The sequence below is a fragment of the Homo sapiens genome, chromosome 11 (genome assembly GCF_000001405.40).
Source record: "Homo sapiens chromosome 11, GRCh38.p14 Primary Assembly".
Lineage (NCBI taxonomy): Eukaryota > Metazoa > Chordata > Mammalia > Primates > Hominidae > Homo > Homo sapiens.
This window is the reverse complement of record NC_000011.10, coordinates 1,082,443-1,100,726: the sequence shown is the minus strand read 5'-3', so window position 1 is coordinate 1,100,726 and position 18,284 is coordinate 1,082,443. Positions and strand designations below refer to the sequence as shown.

Sequence of the window (18,284 nt, the reverse complement as noted above, 5' to 3'; positions counted from 1 at the left end):
GAGACGTTGCACATCTCAGATGCCACAGGGTCCCAACTGCCACTCCCCAGCTGCAAGGGAGCCAGACAGCCGACCGGGTGGCAGAACTGGAGGACCAGGGCCTCGTGCCCACCTCCCAGGCTCTCAGAGTCACCAGGCAGGGTGGAGCGGCAAGGCCAGTATCACCACAGCCGAGTGTCACGAGAGCCTGCAGGTGACCTGGTGCTCTGGCAGCAACACAGCTTGCTGGCCAAGCCGATGGCCAGCAAGAGGCGTCCAGAAGGCACTGGCTGTGGCATGCCGTCCACCAGGAAAAGGCCCCAAGGAGGGGCTGCAGCCAGAAGCAGGTGGACCCGCAGGCACCTCACTGGCAGCCTCTCTCTGCCCCCCAGCCTTGATGGGCTCCCACAGCACCGCATCACATAGCAGTGGGCCCCTGAAGAAGGCCGTCTTATGGGCGAGCAGGATAGCCAAGGGCTCCACTGCCCAGCACTGGCCGGTGTCAGCAGCTCCTCAGAAGGCTGTCCTATGGGCAAGCGGAATGGCCTTTGGCTTCACTGCCCAGCACTGGCCAGTGTCAGTGGCTTCTGCCCACACAGTGACCAAGCTTCGTGGGCAGAGAGGCGCCCAGAACGTGCCTTGAGCCTTCCTGGGACAGTCCTGCCCGGCACAAGGGGAGGAAGAAGCATCCCAGGCCAGAGGAACCAAGCGGCTCTGCTTACCTGGAGGGGACGTGGTGGTGCTGGGCGGTGGAGACAGTGTGTGGCCTCCGCTCGTGGTCGTGGGTGCCGTGGGTGTGGAGGGTGGGGCCGTGCTGGTCATCTCAATGGCAGGTGGTAGGGTACTCAGAAGGGTGGTTGACTCCGTGAGAGGGGAAGAGGTGGACCGAGAGGTCTGAGGGGTTGAGGACTCAGGCGGAGGATTGGATGTGGTCAACTCAGCAATCGGTGCTGTGCTTGTGTGGGTGGGGGGCCCCGTGCTTCCAGTGGTGGGTGTTGGGGTTGGGGTCACCGTAGTGGTGGTGCTGATGGGTATCATGGTTGGGGTCTGTGTGCCGGTGGGTGTTGGGGTTGCGGTCACCGTAGTTGTGGTGGTGATGGGTGTCACGGTTGTACTCTTTGTGCTGGTGGGTGTTGGGGTTGGGGTCATCGTAGTGGTGGTGGTGATGAGTACCGTGGTTGGGGTCTGTGTGCCGGTGGGTGTCGGGGTTGGGGTCACCGTGGTGGTGGTGGTGATGGGTGTCGTGGTTGGGGTCTGTGTGCCGGTGGGTGTTGGGGTTGGGGTCACCGTAGTGGTGGTGGAGATGGGTGTCGGGGTTGGGGTCTGTGTGCCGGTGGGTGTTGGGGTTGGGGTCACCGTAGTGGTGGTGGTGATGGGCGTCAATGTTGGGGTCTGTGTGCCGGTGGGTGTTGGGGTTGGGGTCACCGTAGTGGTGGTGGTGATGGCTGTTGGGGTTGGGGACTGTGTGCCGGTGGGTGTTGGGGTTGGTGTCACCGTAGTGGTGGTGGTGATGGGTGTCGTGGTTGGGGTCTGTGTGCCGGTGGGTGTTGGGGTTGGGGTCACCGTACTGGTGGTGGTGATGGCTGTTGGGGTTGGGGCCTGTGTGCCAGTGGGTGTTGGGGTTGGGGTCACCGTGGTGGTGGTGGTGATGGGTGTCGTGGTTGGGGTCTGTGTGCCGGTGGGTGTTGGGGTTGGGGTCACCGTAGTGGTGGTGGTGATGGGTGTCGATGTTGGGGTCTGTGTGCCGGTGGGTGTTGGGGTTGGGGTCACCGTGGTGGTGGTGCTGATGGGTGTCGTTGTTGGGGTCTGTGTGCCGGTGGGTGTTGGGGTTGGGGTCACCGTGGTGGTGGTGGTGATGGGTGTCATGGTTGGGGTCTGTGTGCCGGTGGGTGTTGGGGTTGGGGTCACCGTAGTGGTGGTGGAGATGGGTGTCGGGGTTGGGGTCTGTGTGCCGGTGGGTGTTGGGGTTGGTGTCACCGTGGTGGTGGTGGTGATGGGTGTCAGGGTTGTACTCTGTGTGCCGGTGGGTGTTGGGGTTGGGGTCACCGTGGTGGTGGTGGTGATGGGTGTCGTGGTTGGGGTCTGTGTGCCGGTGGGTGTTGGGGTTGGGGTCACCGTAGTGGTGGTGGTGATGGCTGTTGGGGTTGGGGCCTGTGTGCCAGTGGGTGTTGGGGTTGGGGTCACCGTGGTGGTGGTGGTGATGGGTGTCATGGTTGGGGTCTGTGTGCCGGTGGGTGTTGGGGTTGGGGTCACCGTAGTGGTGGTGGTGATGGGTGTCGATGTTGGGGTCTGTGTGCCGGTGGGTGTTGGGGTTGGGGTCACCGTGGTGGTGGTGGTGATGGGTGTCATGGTTGGGGTCTGTGTGCCGGTGGGTTGTTGGGGTTGGGGTCACCCGTTATTGGTGGTGGAGAATGGGTGTTGGGGTTGGGGTCTGTGTGCCGGTGGGTTTTGGGGGTTGGGGTCAACCGTAGTGGTGGGTGGTGATGGGTGTTGATGTTGGGGTTTTGTGTGCCGGTGGGTGTTGGGGGTTGGTGTTCACCGTGGTGGTGGTGGTGATGGGTGTCAGGGTTGTACTCTGTGTGCCGGTGGGTGTTGGGGTTGGGGTCACCGTGGTGGTGGTGGTGATGGGTGTCGTGGTTGGGGTCTGTGTGCCGGTGGGTGTTGGGGTTGGGGTCACCGTAGTGGTGGTGGTGATGGGTGTCGATGTTGGGGTCTGTGTGCCGGTGGGTGTTGGGGTTGGGGTCACCGTGGTGGTGGTGGTGATGGGTGTCGGGGTTGGGGTCTGTGTGCCGGTGGGTGTTGGGGTTGGGGTCACCGTAGTGGTGGTGGTGATGGGTGTCGATGTTGGGGTCTGTGTGCCGGTGGGTGTTGGGGTTGGGGTCACCGTGGTGGTGGTGCTGATGGGTGTCGTTGTTGGGGTCTGTGTGCCGGTGGGTGTTGGGGTTGGGGTCACCGTGGTGGTGGTGGTGATGGGTGTCATGGTTGGGGTCTGTGTGCCGGTGGGTGTTGGGGTTGGGGTCACCGTAGTGGTGGTGGAGATGGGTGTCGGGGTTGGGGTCTGTGTGCCGGTGGGTGTTGGGGTTGGGGTCACCGTAGTGGTGGTGGTGATGGGTGTCGATGTTGGGGTCTGTGTGCCGGTGGGTGTTGGGGTTGGGGTCACCATGGTGGTGGTGGTGATGGGTGTCGTTGTTGGGGTCTGTGTGCCGGTGGGTGTTGGGGTTGGGGTCACCGTAGTGGTGGTGGTGATGGCTGTTGGGGTTGGGGCCTGTGTGCCAGTGGGTGTTGGGGTTGGGGTCACCGTGGTGGTGGTGGTGATGGGTGTCGTGGTTGGGGTCTGTGTGCCGGTGGGTGTTGGGGTTGGGGTCACCGTAGTGGTGGTGGTGATGGGTGTCGATGTTGGGGTCTGTGTGCCGGTGGGTGTTGGGGTTGGGGTCACCGTGGTGGTGGTGCTGATGGGTGTCGTTGTTGGGGTCTGTGTGCCGGTGGGTGTTGGGGTTGGGGTCACCGTGGTGGTGGTGGTGATGGGTGTCGTGGTTGGGGTCTGTGTGCCGGTGGGTGTTGGGGTTGGGGTCACCGTAGTGGTGGTGGAGATGGGTGTCGGGGTTGGGGTCTGTGTGCCGGTGGGTGTTGGGGTTGGTGTCACCGTGGTGGTGGTGGTGATGGGTGTCAGGGTTGTACTCTGTGTGCCGGTGGGTGTTGGGGTTGGGGTCACCGTGGTGGTGGTGGTGATGGGTGTCGTGGTTGGGGTCTGTGTGCCGGTGGGTGTTGGGGTTGGGGTCACCGTAGTGGTGGTGGTGATGGGTGTCGATGTTGGGGTCTGTGTGCCGGTGGGTGTTGGGGTTGGGGTCACTGTGGTGGTGGTGCTGATGGGTGTCGTTGTTGGGGTCTGTGTGCCGGTGGGTGTTGGGGTTGGGGTCACCGTGGTGGTGGTGGTGATGGGTGTCATGGTTGGGGTCTGTGTGCCGGTGGGTGTTGGGGTTGGGGTCACTGTAGTGGTGGTGGAGATGGGTGTCGGGGTTGGGGTCACCGTAGTGGTGGTGGAGATGGGTGTCGGGGTTGGGGTCTGTGTGCCGGTGGGTGTTGAGGTTGGGGTCACCGTAGTGGTGGTGCTGATGGGTGTCGATGTTGGGGTCTGTGTGCCGGTGGGTGTTGGGGTTGGGGTCACCATAGTGGTGGTGGTGATGGGTGTCAGGGTTGTACTCGGTGTGCCGGTTGGTGTTGGGGTTGGGGTCACCGTAGTGTTGGTGGTGATGGGTGTCGATGTTGGGGTCTGTGTGCCGGTGGGTGTTGGGGTTGGGGTCACCGTGGTGGTGGTGGTGATGGGTGTCGGGGTTGGGGTCTGTGTGCCGGTGGGTGTTGGGGTTGGGGTCACCGTAGTGGTGGTGGTGATGGGTGTCGTGGTTGGGGTCTGTGTGCCAGTGGGTGGTGGGGTTGGGGTCACCATAGTGGTGGTGGTGATGGATGTCGGGGTTGTACTCTTTGTGCCGGTGGGTGTTGGGGTTGGGGTCACCGTAGTGGTGGTGGTGATGGGTGTCGTGGTTGGGGTCTGTGTGCCGGTGGGTGTTGGGGTTGGGGTCACCGTAGTGGTGGTGGTGATGGGTGTCAGGGTTGGGGTCTGTGTGCCGGTGGGTGTTGGTGTTGGGGTCACCGTAGTGGTGGTGCTGATGGGTGTCGATGTTGGGGTCTGTGTGCCGGTGGGTGTAGGGGTTGGGGTCACCGTAGTGGTGGTGGTGATGGGTGTTGGGGTTTGGGTCTGTGTTCCAGTGGGTGTTGGGGTTGGGGTCACCATGGTGGTGGTGGTGATGGGTGTCGTTGTTGGGGTCTGTGTGCCGGTGGGTGTTGGGGTTGGGGTCACCGTGGTGGTGGTGGTGATGGGTGTCGTGGTTGGGGTCTGTGTGCCGGTGGGTGTTGGGGTTGGGGTCACCGTGGTGGTGGTGGTGATGGATGTCGGTGTTGTTCTCTGTGTGCTGGTGGGTGTTGGGGTTGGGGTCACCGTAGTGGTGGTGATGGGTGTCGGGGTTGGGGTCTGTGTGCTGGTGATTGTTGGTGTTGGGGTCACCATAGTGGTGGTGGTGGTGATGGGTGTCGGGGTTGGGGTCTGTGTGCCAGTGGGGGTTGGGGTTGGGGTTACCGTATTGGTGGTGGTGATGGGTGTTGGTGTTGTACTCTGTGTGCTGGTGGGTGTTGGGGTTGGGGTCACCGTAGTGGTGGTGGTGATTGGTGTCGGAGTTGGGTTCTCTGTGGTGGTGGTTGTCATGGTGGTGGGTTGGGTGACACACTCACAGCACTGAACGTTGATCTCGTAGTTGAGGCAGAAGGCCATAGGGATGACCCCACCTGGCTTTTGGTCTTCATTTTTGCATATCAGCCCCACAGAGACATCACACACCACTGTTTGTCCAAGCTGTCCAATGGGAACATCAGGATACATGGTGGCTCTGCAAGAGATGTTAGCTGCCCAGCCTGGTCCACAGACGTCTCCAATCAATTCTGTGTCTCCACCTGGTTTGTGAAAGTTGGGTTTTCCAGAATCCAGCCAGCCAGTCCAATTGCAGAGAGGCACGCATGGGGTAGTAGGGGTTGTCGTTGAGAATGGTGAAAATGTAGGAGGAGTTATTGATGGAGGTAGAGGAGTAGTTGTTAGAGGGCTGGAAGTGGTGGTTGGTGGAAGGGTGGTCGTGGTGGTTGTTGGAGGGCTGGGAGTGGTGGTTGGTGGAGGGGTGGTTGTGGTGATTGTTGGAGGACTGGGAGTGGTGGTTGTTGGAGGGCTGGGAGTGGTGGTTGGTGGAGGGGTGGTTGTGGTGGTTGGTGGAGGGCTGGGAGTGGTGGTTGGTGGAAGGGTAGTAGTGCTGGTTGGTGGAGTGATGGGCGTAGTCGTTGGAGGACTGGGAGTGGTGGTTGGTGGAGGGGTGGTTGTGGTGGTTGTTGGAGGGCTGGGAGTGGTGGTTGGTGGAAGGGTGGTAGTGCTGGCTGGTGGAGTGATGGGCGTAGTCGTTGGAGGGCTGGGAGTGGTGGTTGGTGGAGGGGTGGTTGTGGTGGTTGTTGGAGGGCTGGGAGTGGTGGTTGGAGGGCTGGGAGTGGTGGTTGGAGGGCTGGGAGTGGTGGTTGGTGGAGGGGTGGTTGTGGTGCTTATTGGAGGGCTGGGAGTGGTGGTTGGTGGAGGGGTGGTCGTGGTGGTTATTGGAGGGCTGGGGGTGGTGGTTGGTGGAGGGGTGGTTGTGGTGGTGGTTGGAGGGCTGGGGGTGGTGGTTGGTGGAAGGGTGGTCGTGCTGGTTGGTGGAGGGCTGGGAGTGGTAGTTGGAGGGCTGGGAGTGGTGATACACTTATCCATGGGCCAGCAACAATTGACACGTATCTTGTAGTCGTAACACAGTCCAAATGGTCCATTTCCAAACTGGTCTTCATTCTTGCAAATGAACCCAACAGAGACATCACACTGCACCTTCTGGCCTAGCTGCTCCAAGCTGAGGTGGGGATCCTTGACCGACCTGCACTCGATGTCCTCAGGGGCCCCGCAGACCCCATCAAATGTTTCTCGGTCACCGTCGTCGCTGCCACTGCTGGGGTGGTCCTCATTGATCCAGTCAGACCAGAGGCAGCACAGCTCTAGGGAAGCAAAACCAAGTTCTTGTCTCTCACACCTGGGGAGAGGCACCTCCAGGAAGCCACCAGGATTCAGAGGACCCAGGGACCTCCATGACCATCCCCCAGCTGCAATCTCTCTTTTCCCTGTCATTGCCAAAAAACCAGAGTGCAGGGCCAGAGAGCTCAGGGCTGGACACCACTTCCATCCTCATTTTGCAACTGAAAACCTGAGCCCAAAGAGACGGGGCCACCCAGGGCCACACCTGGGTGTGATGGACCCTTTCCTCAGCTATTTTCAATACTTTTTTTTCAAAGAATCAATAACAAGAGAGCTTCCCATTCCAGTAAGGAAGTGTGACGGAAGGGGCTTTGTCTCCACTCTTAACCAGCAATATTGTCACCGACAGCCAATCAGGTCTCACTTTAGCCCCTGGCCTCAGCAAACCATGAATGAAGTGGCCAAAATACATCCATCTTTGGTCCATAAGCAGAGGAGTCCAGCCCCGCCAGCCTCACATCTGGGCCCTGAAGGAAGCATCCTGCAGGTGATTTTATAAGACTTCGCTCCTCCCACCCTGCTTGTCATCATGAATATCATCACCGTCACTTACTCGGAGTTGTTGATAAAACTGCAATAAAGCAGGAAGAAAAGAGGATATCATTATATAGTTCAAGATCTTTTAAAATCTTGCCTTTTTTAAAAAAAGTTTCTTTTTTCTGTGGCTATCATACCCCTGGTGGCTTGTTCAGTGGTAGCTAGGATTTCAACCAGAACAAACGCAGGGGAACATAAGAAAATTTCTCTAACCCTTAGGGATAGTTTCCTGCTGGTTTTCAGAAATCTCCCCAGGTGATCCTCCACTGTGGTCTGGGCTTGGGGATGTGGTCAGGATGCTACTATCTCAATGCACCAGGCCAGGGGAGCCAGGGCAGGCCCCCTCACACCTCAGTGCAGAGGAATGCCACTGTCACCTCACTCTGCAGCTGGTGTGCAGGGGTCACAGCCTGGCTGCACCAGGCCGGGGCCTGCCCCCGAAAGAGCCCTCTGTGCTGGATGCTGGATGCAGGGGAAGGTGAGAGCCCGAGGAAGCATGGAGGGAACCAGGGGGCCTTACCTGTGCTGGAGGTCGGGGTGGTGGTGGTGGTGGTAGTGGTGAAGGTGGTGGGGGTGGTGGGGAGGGTGATGGTGGTGAAGGTGGTCAGGGTGGACGGGCGTGTCGTAATGGAACAGATGTTGAAGTGCTTCTCCACCGTCCCGTTGGGGCCACAGATCTCCCAGTAGCAGAAGGCGCCATCCTGGGTCTGGTTAAGAATCTTTCCTGGGGGTGAGGGTGAGGCCAAGAATCACCTCATCAGGAGCAAGATAGGAAGAAGGCCAGGTGTGCCCGAGCCCCCACAAGCAGCTAAGAAATGCTCCAGTGAGACTGCACCCGTCCCAGAGCCCCTCTCTTTGAATAAAGGGAATCTCATCAGAACGCAGAAGCTGGATCACGGGAGAGGGTGACGGAAATTCCCCACAGGACACCGACACCCCAGAAGAAACAAAATGGGTCACAGCAGCCCCCCAGGGCTGATACACATCGGAGGTGGGTCTGAGCTGGGGGGGGACCAAAGGGGCAGAGCCCAGGAGGAGACCAGCACCCCCCACCGATCCAAGGCCCCACAGGCTTCCCCAGGATGGGCCCGGCCACCGCAGGGCTGGCAGCAGAGGGCAGCTTACCTTCCTCCGGCCTGCAGACGACTTGGGAGGAGTTGGTACACACGCTGCAAAGCAAGCACATGGCTACAAGTCCCACTCCACTGACAACGCGCCCACGCTGCTCAGACCCCCAGCTTCCCCATGTGGCTAGTACCGAGCCCAAAGCCCCCAGGCACTGCCCCAAAGCCAGCTCCGGAAGAGCCCCCCACTGGGTTGTAACTGTGGGAACAGAGCAGGGGCGAGGAGAGGAAGGAAAAAGCCAGACCCAGAGGATGGGATGAGAACAGAAGACCCCCCGCCGCAGTGAGGGACTGGTACCTCTGTAGCCTGGCTCCTGTGTGCATGTGTGACTGTGTGACTGTGTGTGCTTGTGTGTCTGCCTCCATGCATGTGTGCATGTGTGACTGTGTCACCGTGAGTGTGTACCTGGGTGTCTGTATCTATGCATGTGTGCATGTGTGCATTATATGACTGTGTGACCTTGTGTACCTGTGTGTCTGCATCCATGCATGTGTGACTGTGCGACTGTGTAATTGTGTGTGTCTGGGTATCTGTGTCTAGGCACGTGTACATGTGTGACTGTGTGTGCCTGCGTGTCAGTGTCTGTGCATGTGAGCATGTGTTCATGTGTGACTGTGAGTGCATCTGTGCACGTGACTGTGTGTGCCTGTGTCTGTCCATGCATGTGTGCATGTGTGCACGTGTGACTTTGTGTCCATGCATGTGTGCATGTTTGACTATGTGTGTGTGCCTGCATATCTGTGTCTAGGCATGTGTACATGTGTGCAGTGTGTGCATGTGTGACTGTGTGACTGCGTGTCTGCATCCATGCATGTGTGACTGTGTAACTGTGTGTGCCTGGGTGTCTGTGTCTATGCATGTGTGCATGTGTGACTGTGTGTCCTTGCGTGTCAGTGTCCATGCATGTGAGCACATGTTCATGTGTGACTGAGTGTGAGTGCATGTGTGCACGTGACTGTGCCTATGTCTGTCCACACGTGTGTATGTGTACACATGTGACTCTGTGTCCATGCATGTGTGACTGTGTGTGCCTGGGTATCTGTGTCTAGGCATGTGTACATGTGTGCACTGTGCATGTGTGTGTGCACCTGCGTGTCTGCGTCCATGCATGTGTGCATGTGTGACTGTGTAACTGTGTGTGCCTGGGTGTCTGTGCATGTGTGCATGTGGTGTATGACTATATGACCGTGTGTGCCTGCGTGTCTGCATCCATGCATATGTGCGTGAGTGTGTAACCGTGAGTGTATGCCTGGGTATCTGCGTCTAGGCATGTGTCCATGTGTGCGCTGTGTGCATGTGTGACTGTGTGTGCCTGCATGTTGGCATCCATTCATGTGTGCATGTGTGCACCATGCATGCATGTGACCGTGTGTATGCACGTGGTATGCTGTGTGCGTTTGTGTGCATGTGCACCCATGTGGAACGGTTGTGTGTCTGTGTACTGTGTACACTGTGTGCTCACACGTGTGTGTGTACTCATGTGCCCATATGTGCAGCTCCCCCAGGCCCCCTGCCACGTGGGCTTAGGTACCAGGACTTGCAGGTCTCCTCGGTGGGAACCGATGCTCCAGGTGGGTAGTGGGTGTCCTCGACATAGCAGCCACACTTGTCTGCAGTGACACACTTCTTCAGATCCTCCTCATAGATGGGCCTGTCCTTGGGGCACCGGGGGTAGCAGCCTGGTGGACACAGGGCATAGGGTTGGGACCACCGCAGTCCACCACACCCCACCCACCGTCCCTACCCTGGCAGGCCCTTCTCTGCAGGATGCCCCTCTGGGAAGGCCGGGGATTGGAAAGGCAGGGCCTGGATCTCCCCACCCCACTGAGCCCTGAACGCTGCCTGCTGAGGAGCCCTGCCCAGTCTCATCGGGCCCCCCGAGCAGCCCTGAGTCCCAAGACCCATGTTCCTCTCCCATGGCGGGATACTCCTCCCAAACTTCCCACCAGTCCCTCCTTCACGTCACTGGTTCTCAGCTCAGACACCAGCACCCGGCAGGGGCCTCCCCTGACCTGTGCCTGAAATGCTCCCCAACCCGCCCTGCTCTGCACGAACCTCAGCACCTCCCACCCCTGCCACTCCCAGTTTCCACGATAGCCTGCTTCCCTCCTGATCCTGCAGCAAGGGGAGCCTGGCTGCCCTGGGCTGTGGGTACCCTGAGGGTCAGGCCTCCCTCCGGGTGTCCCCATGGGTCTCCAGACATCAGCCTTCAGCCCCACAGTGCCAGGCCCGTCGGCCGTAGCCTCCCCCGAGGGCCGCCTGGCTCACCCTCCAGGCCAGTGGACTGTTGCCTCTCCCGAGGGCTGCCCCACTCAGCCTCCAGGCCCCTCGGCCATCACCCCCGCTGAAGCCCGCCCCACCCTGCTCACCCTCCAGGTAGGACACGGAGATGTTGGAGTGGATGCCATTGATGGTCCTGCAGGTCTCGAAGCTCCGGTTCCCACATGGCTCATAGTGCCACTCACACTCATGCGGAGGGTTGTAGTAGTCGCAGAATATGGCTTGGGGGAGACAGGGCCAGGGTCAGACGCAGGAGGGCTCAGGCCTGGGCCGGGGTGAGGGCGAATCTGGGGTCGGGGGCTGGGACGCAGACGCATCAAGCTTGCTCTGCCAACCCGGGTCCCACAGGGCCCCAAAGAAGGACACTGGAGAAGTCGGGGAAAGGGTGGGTGATGCACACCCATCACCTGGATGGACAAGGAGTGTCACCCCGGCCCGCAATACAGCACCTCCCAGCCCCCGTCCCGGCCCTGAGTGCAGTTCGGGCAGGCTCTTACGGCACAGGTCCGGCGTCCTCCAGAACACGCAGGCCCCCTCTTTGGTACACTCCTGGGCGTAGGAGGCCACGGCAGAGCAGAAGCACTCACAGTCCCCACCCGTGTCACAGGAGCACGAGTCGTGCACACAGGCCTCGTAGAAGGGCTTGGGGTCCACCTGGGGAGAACACCCTGGTCTGTCCTGGGCCCGTGCTGCCCTCATGGAGCCAGGACTTCCCCAGTGCCCTGGAGCTCAGGACCCTGAGGCCGGCCCTGCTCCTGGGACAGGGCACATTACCCAGCACCAGCCAGCCAGGGCCCCGGCAGGGCCAACCTTGGGGAGAGGGTCCAGAGACACCTGTCCCGCCGTGGCTGTGCAGACCCATCACCCAACCCCTCTGCATCCTCAGCTGTAACATGGCCATCCTAGAACCCGTCCTCCCCAGCTGCCTGTAGCTGGGGATGTGTGGGCATGGGGGACACATGTCCTTTCTCCCTCCGGGTGAATATCTGAGCCTGGGGAGGCAGAGGGAGGCCGGGGGTCCAGCCCAGGGTCTCAGAGGGGAGGCCGATTATACGGTCATGTGACCAAAGGAGGCAGCGGCCAGAGCCAAAGCTGGAGGACAAGCGCCGTGTGGTGCGTGACGCAGCAGGGCGACTCCTGAAGGTGTGGGGAGCATGTGGAGAAGCCCCCCAGCCCCAGGAGCACCCAAGACCCTACCCTGCTATGACCACGCCCTGGTCATTAGCATGCTCTACGGCACCCTCACCACGTCCACAGTCAGCCCATAGCCCCGCTCTGCCTAGTCGGCCCCGCCCACAGCCACAGCCCACCTACAGCCCTGCTCTGCCTACAGTCGGCCCCGCCCATGGCCCCGCCCACAGCTATAGTCCACCTACAGCCCTGCTCTGCCTACAGTCGGCCCCGCCCGTGGCCCCGCCCACAGCTATAGCCCACCTACAGCCCTGCTCTGCTTAGTCGGCCCCGCCCATGGCCCCGCCCACAGCTGTAGCCCACCTACAGCCCTGCTCTGCCTAGTTAGCCCCGCCATGCCCCGGCCTATAGTCACAGGCCCCCTACAGCCCTGCTCTGCCTACAGTCGGCCCCGCCCATGGCCCCAGCCCACAGTCACAGCCCACCTACAGCCCTCCTCTGCCTACTTGCCCCACCATGGCCCGGCCAGCCCACCTTGCTGTGGCAGATGCTGAACACGCTGCTTTTGAGGATGCTGCACTGCTTCTCGGCCCAGGAGCGGCGGTGCGGGTTCAGGCTGCAGGGCTCGGGGTTGGTGCTCACATCTGGGCAGGTGGGGGCCTCCTTCCAGCTGTTCCCGAAGTCCAGCTCGCTGCTCACCACCATGTGGTCCCGCGTGGTGAAGTCGTTGTTGGAGCGGTGGTCAAAGTTCCCACACAGGCCACACACGGTGCCCTGCAAGAGACAAGCATCACAGGGGCTCCAAAAAGGGGCTGGAGGGAGGACAGGGGCTTGTCCTGCAAACACCAGGGCAGGGGGTGGGGGGCTGGCCAGGAGGGGGCAGGGCAGGCAGGGAGGCAGCCCACCTTGTAGGAGGGAGCCAGCTTGATGAACACGGTGGTCCTCTTGTCCCAGATGACGATGATGCCCGTGCTGGACTCCACCACCAGGTACTGGCCCACCTCCCGCGTGGTGTAGGCCACGTGGTGACCCTCATCACGCTGGATCACCACACGGTGCTTGTCTTCCAACTTCAGCTCCGTCCTCTGCCCGGAGGAGAGGCCCAGTCACTGGCTGGTCTGAGGGTCCCGCAGGGCTCACGCGTCCCCAGGGCCAGCAGCACTCACCCCCATGAAGATCTTGATGGCCTTGGAGCAGGTGACGCCCGTAGTGCCACAGGGGACGTTCTCGGTGATGATGCTGAATGAGCCCAGTGAGGAGTTCTGGCCGCAGTAGTCCTGGGGGCCAGGAGGGCAAGGTCAGCCAGGACAGCTGGACCCCAGGTGTCCCGGGGCACACCCGCCCCAGTTGGCAGGGTCACAGCCACTGAGCAGACAAACCAGGCCCTGGCCTGGCCCATCCAAGGACCTGACCCTGCTGCAGGCCTGTCCCCTGTCCCTGGGGATCACGGTGCCTCAAAGGGCTGTGGGATTTGGATCTGGAGAGCCGCGCGGGCAGCGGCCTAGCCCTGGCCTTTACTCAGCTCCCCAAACAGGTGCCCTCAGTCCCCATGGCTGGTGCACCCACCTTGTGCACCCAGAGAAGGACCCAGAGGAGGACCCAGAGGAGGACCCAAATGAGGACCACAGAGGAGGACCTAGAGGAGGACCCAGAGGAGGGAGGACTCAGAGGAGGACCCAGAGGAGGACCCAGAGGAGGGAGGACCCAGAGGAGGACCTGGAGGAGGACCCAGAGGAGGGAGGACCCAGAGGAGGGAGGACCCAGAGGAGGACCTGGAGGAGGACCCAGAGGAGGGAGGACCCAGAGGAGGGAGGACCCAGAGGAGGCCAGAGGAGGGAGGACCCAGAGGAGGACCCAGAGGAGGGAGGACCCAGAGGAGGCCAGAGGAGGGAGGACCCAGATGAGGACCCGGAGGAGGACCCGGAGGAGGACCCAGAGGAGAACCACAGAACTGGGCAGTACAGAGGGGTTTTACCACCCCTACCCAGCCCTGGCTAGAAGAACGAATCCTCCTGCGGGTGCAGGTGCGGGTCTGGGGCTGAGGAAAGGCCGGCCTTCCCAAGTCTCAGGGTTTCTCGGGGAGCTAAGCACTGCACTTGGGGCAGGCAGAGGGTCCCTGACCATAAGCAGCCCGACCAGGCAGTGCCCGTGACCACACCTGAACAGCCACGTAGGAGCAGTGTCCGTCAAAGTCGTAGTACTTCCCGTCAAAGGTGATGTAGTGGCCACTCCCGTAAATGGAGCAGGTGCCATGGCACACAGCCTGGGTGCACACCCAGCGTCCTCTCTTGCAGGTGCTGAGGAGGACAGGAGAGGAGCCTGAAGGGACCCAGGACCTGCTCATGGGTGGCTGGAGGAGACCCTGGGCACCGTGCAGACAGCTCCCTGTGCCTCCCACACAGGACACCTGCAGGCCCCAAAAGTGGCTCCAAATGTCCCTTCCCCCATGGCTTCAAGACCAGCGGTTGACATGAGAGACCACCCTGCCCGTGGGACAGGGGCCACCACAGGATCTCGCAAGACCCAGGCGGAACCCCCAGGAGAGGCACTTGCCCCTTGGACCGCTCTCCAGTGGCCACCCCTGCGGAGCACGTGGGGCCTGGGAGGCAGCCAGGACAGGCCGGGCCAGCTTACCAGGTATTGCAGTCCACCTTGATCTTGGCGCCGGAAGAATACAGGTCGTTGTTATGGACGCAAGGGCATTCCTTCTCCACCACGCAGCCACCCCGGCCGTCATCCATCAGCCCGTCGGGGCACACACAGCCACTGACACACTCTGTGTGGTACTGGGGACAGCCAGAGAGTGGGGTTCAGGGGTGGACAGGTGAGGCTGCAGCCCTCCCTGGGGTCAGGATTGGATGTGCAACCAGGAAAGGCCTGACCATGCAGTCTCTGTCATGTCCCAGACCTCCCACCACTCCCCCTGGCCTGGGCTCAGGCTTCCCTCCCCTTGGGCCCGCCACAGGGCAGTGAGACTGGTGAGGGCTGCCGGCCAAGGGCCCTACACTGGCCCCTGTGCCCCAGTGGCTCACAGGCTGCCACTTCCCTCCCAGGGCCAGGGACAGCATCAACAGGGCCTGCGTCCTCAGGACTCGGCACCCAGACCCTAGCGGGGGCACAGCACAAGAGCCAGGCTCAGCCAGCCAGGAATCCCTGCCCGCCCACAGCAGCGCCCCCAACACGCACATAGCCGGCGGCCAGCGTCTGGCAGCTGAGGGCTCGGGGCTTCGAGGTGGCCAGTGCAGTCAGGTTGCTGCAGTCCATGTGGATCTTTGGGGCCGTGCAGCCTGTGGGACGGAGGGGCCACCTCAGCTCCAGCTGAAGCTGAGGGTCTCAGGCAGGCCCGGGAGGGGTGGCCGGGGAGGGTGGCCAGGGCAGGCAGGGAGGGGTGGCTGGGGAGGGGTGGCCGGGGCAGTGCCACTTACTCTGGCCGATCAGCCGGATCTGCCTACAGTGCAGCCGCCCATCCCGGCACACACTGTGGAAAAGGCCAGGGATGAGCGGGGCCCATGCAGGACGGCCACAGACAGCCAGCAGCTTCCCCGCAGATGTGAGCCTGATGCCTCTCAGCGCCCCCCACCCCAGGCACCCCTCAGCCTTGGGTGTCTCAGCTTCCCCAGGTAGAGACTCCCAGGTCTCCGCTTGGGGCAGGTTCAGAAGGAGTTCCCCCGCCCCCACGCCACACCTGACCCCCGAGCAGGTACCCACCATCGTTCTTCCTGCCTGACGACCACGTCCCCCGCCTCCAGGTAGAGACCGCGGTGGTAACAGGAGCACTTGGCCAGGGGTACGCAGCGGCCCTTCTCGTCCAGGAAGGTGTGGTCAGGGCAGCCGCAGCCGTCCACAGGCGCAAAGCCCTCGAGACAGTGGCTGTCGGCCTCGGAGAGGGAGCGGCAGGTCTGCTGGCAGGTGGTCAGGTTGTACAGGAAGACCTGCGAGTTGGGGCAGGAGCCCACATCCTTGTCTGCAGAGGACCACGGGGTGGTGTGAGGGACGGGAAGAGCCAGACGCCCAGCTCCCATCCCCAGGGTGGCCAGGGGGCCAGGGAGTGCACACTCTGGGACCCACTCCCACACTCGGCCGCCACAGCTCCAGGCCCACCCCAGGTTCTGCCCCTGCTACGTGGCCGCCCCTTGCTATAGGAGTTGCTGGTTTCCTGCTACCACCGGCCGACGAAGCTGGAGCCTGGTCCGTGGCTGCAGGGGGCCAACCCCTCTCCCTGGACCACCCGTGCTCAGGGCCCCCAGCCCCGTCCCAGGAGCTCAAAGCCCGGACCCCATCCCCAGGATGCAGCCCACGGGGACGGCACTCACTGCAGACATGCTCCCGCCAGCCCCACAGCATGACGCCCTTGGCGGTGCAGGCGCGCGCGTAGGAGGACAGGGCGGCGCACAGGCAGTCCTCATTGTTCTGACAGTTACACGTGTCATATTTGCACCTCTGGGCGACAGAGCAAGGTGGACGGGCAGTGAGGCAGGGAGGCAGAGTGTGGCCTGGCGCTCACAGACGCAAGCTCACACGCACACACAGCAACCAGTGGGCCCAACCGGGTGCTCTGAGTCCACCTCACGGGTGGCATGGGGGGCTGGGGGTGCCCTGAGTCCACCTTGATGGCATGGGGGCCTGGGGGTGTGGGTCCCACCCACCTTGTAATACTCAGCAGGGTCCACAGCCGAGTGGCACCTGCCAAAGGGGGTCTCTGTCTTCTTCAGGAGGGAGCACCAGTGCTCGGCGTAGTTGGCTGGGGAGTGGGGGATCGGAACTTCAGCGGGGCCCGGGACCCCCGTGAGATCCCCTGGGCCCTGCTGCCTGGCTGCCTAGGCCCCAGATATGGTTCCCTCTGTGCACCGATGCCCAGGCCCCTTCCTCCCCGTGAGTCAAATTTCCAGGCAGCTCCTGGCTAGATAGAAACCCCTGCAGGGCACCCACCACCTCCCGTCTCTCACCCCCAAGGGCCCAGCATCCTGGACATGACGGGGCAGGTAGGGACCAGCCCAGGCCCTCTTCCAGGTCACCTGGCAGGCTGCCACCATGGCCGCCATAAACTAGCCACAGCAGGAAGCAGCAGGGGCCGGGCTGCCCCTGGAGGAGAGCCACCTCACTTCTGCCCCTCACCACCCATGCTTCCTGCTGGGAGCCCCGTCTGCCCTTCCAGGCCATGGGCCGGGTACCCTAGGCACGCTAGGTGGGGGCGCCCGTGTTGCCGAGCCTCACCGCTCTCGATGTTCAGGGAGCAGGGATCGTCCAACCAGTCCAGCTTGTCATGGCAGGTTGACTGTGCCTTCCAGGTGTTGGCAAAGCCGGCCCCCGTGGCCTCCACCAGCCCGCTGGCCGTCTTGAAGTCGTCACCTTCCAGGCCGTTGAAGTTCCCGCAGAGGCCTGAGGGGCCAGGACAGGGTTGGGAAGAGTCTGGGGCTAGCAGGCCCCCCTGTGGGCCTTTGTTGGGGCAACCCCGGTGGGGCCACTTACCCTGCACCTGCCCCTGGGAGGCCTGGTCCAGTGTCACAAAGAGTTGCATGACTGGGGCCAGCTGCACCTGCAGCCGGACGCCAATGGCCATGCTCACCATGATGTGGTAGGAAGACGGGCGGAAGACAGAGAAGCTCGCTGTGGGCAGGGGCACGATGAGGGACACGGTAAGGGGCATGGCGAGGGGCGGGGCTCCCGGGACCTGCCTGGCCCAGGTGAGCAGCGGGAGGGTGTCACCCTCCCACCACCCCCTCCAGCAGAGGACCCAGGACGGAGCCTGCTGGGTGCCGCAGGGACCCTCCCCCCGTGGAACCTTCCCACCCAGCCTCCTGGGTCCGAGGTGGCTGGACTGTCCGAATCACTGCAGGCCCAGTGGAGCTCGAAGGGCCCGGGCCCCTCCCTGGGGCGCAACTCACCGGTCACGTGGGGCAGGTTCACCTGCAGCTCGTTGAGCAGTACACTGCCATCGGACTTGAAGACCACCACCTGCAGGGAAGGCCGAGGTTGCTCAGGGCTGAGAAGGGCCCCCCTCGGGGGACCTGGGGCTCCAGAAGGAGGGGGCAGGACCACTCACATTCTTCTTCTTGTCAGCCAGCAGCACCACCGTCTTCAGGCAGGTCTGCTTGTCTGTGGAGCCACAGGGGGCCAGCTCGCCCAGGAGAGCGTAGGAATCGTTGTGGTCACCCTGTGATGGGGCAAGAGGCAGTGCAGCTGCTGAGGGCCGGGACGGGCAGCACCCTGCACCCTAGGACCCGGCAGTGGCTTAGAAAGGAAGGCCTGCTTCTTATTCTCCAGCCAGAGAGCAGAAGCATGGTCACCTGCCCCAGGACAGCCCACAGGCACCCTCTGCTTCAGGGACAGCCAGCCCACCCACCCCGGGACAGCCAAGGGCCTGGATGCCAGCCCCAGCTCTGCCCCATGCCCCAGACCCTGGGCAGCCTACCTTGGCCAGGACATAGTAGCAGTCCCCGTGGAAGGTGTACGTCTTCCCATCGAAGGTGGTGATGTGGGAGCCGCCTTCCAGGGCACAGGTGCCGGGGCAGGGCAGGTCTTTGCACACCCAGCGGCCAGCGTTACAGACACTGTTGGGCAGCGGGGCACAGGGTCAGGGCTCAGCCGC

The 18,284-nt window shown here is 62.2% G+C and overlaps 1 protein-coding gene across 1 annotated transcript in view; it reads right to left on the bottom strand.

Moving 5' to 3' along the window:
• Positions 1 to 18,284, bottom strand: part of MUC2 (mucin 2, oligomeric mucus/gel-forming) — a 35,635-nt gene that overhangs the window by 9,782 nt on the left and 7,569 nt on the right. Inside the window, 31 exon segments of the mRNA NM_002457.5 lie at positions 702 to 2,352; positions 2,354 to 2,372; positions 2,375 to 2,389; positions 2,391 to 2,430; positions 2,432 to 2,443; positions 2,445 to 2,455; positions 2,457 to 2,477; positions 2,479 to 2,504; positions 2,506 to 2,513; positions 2,515 to 6,585; positions 7,176 to 7,193; positions 7,680 to 7,883; positions 8,285 to 8,328; positions 9,816 to 9,963; positions 10,654 to 10,785; positions 11,062 to 11,218; positions 12,230 to 12,469; positions 12,601 to 12,780; positions 12,862 to 12,972; positions 13,854 to 13,992; positions 14,330 to 14,481; positions 14,882 to 14,982; positions 15,121 to 15,173; positions 15,404 to 15,659; positions 16,009 to 16,135; positions 16,342 to 16,436; positions 16,910 to 17,074; positions 17,165 to 17,302; positions 17,581 to 17,650; positions 17,739 to 17,849; positions 18,108 to 18,246. Coding sequence (NP_002448.5) covers positions 702 to 2,352; positions 2,354 to 2,372; positions 2,375 to 2,389; positions 2,391 to 2,430; positions 2,432 to 2,443; positions 2,445 to 2,455; positions 2,457 to 2,477; positions 2,479 to 2,504; positions 2,506 to 2,513; positions 2,515 to 6,585; positions 7,176 to 7,193; positions 7,680 to 7,883; positions 8,285 to 8,328; positions 9,816 to 9,963; positions 10,654 to 10,785; positions 11,062 to 11,218; positions 12,230 to 12,469; positions 12,601 to 12,780; positions 12,862 to 12,972; positions 13,854 to 13,992; positions 14,330 to 14,481; positions 14,882 to 14,982; positions 15,121 to 15,173; positions 15,404 to 15,659; positions 16,009 to 16,135; positions 16,342 to 16,436; positions 16,910 to 17,074; positions 17,165 to 17,302; positions 17,581 to 17,650; positions 17,739 to 17,849; positions 18,108 to 18,246 — 8,654 coding nt within the window.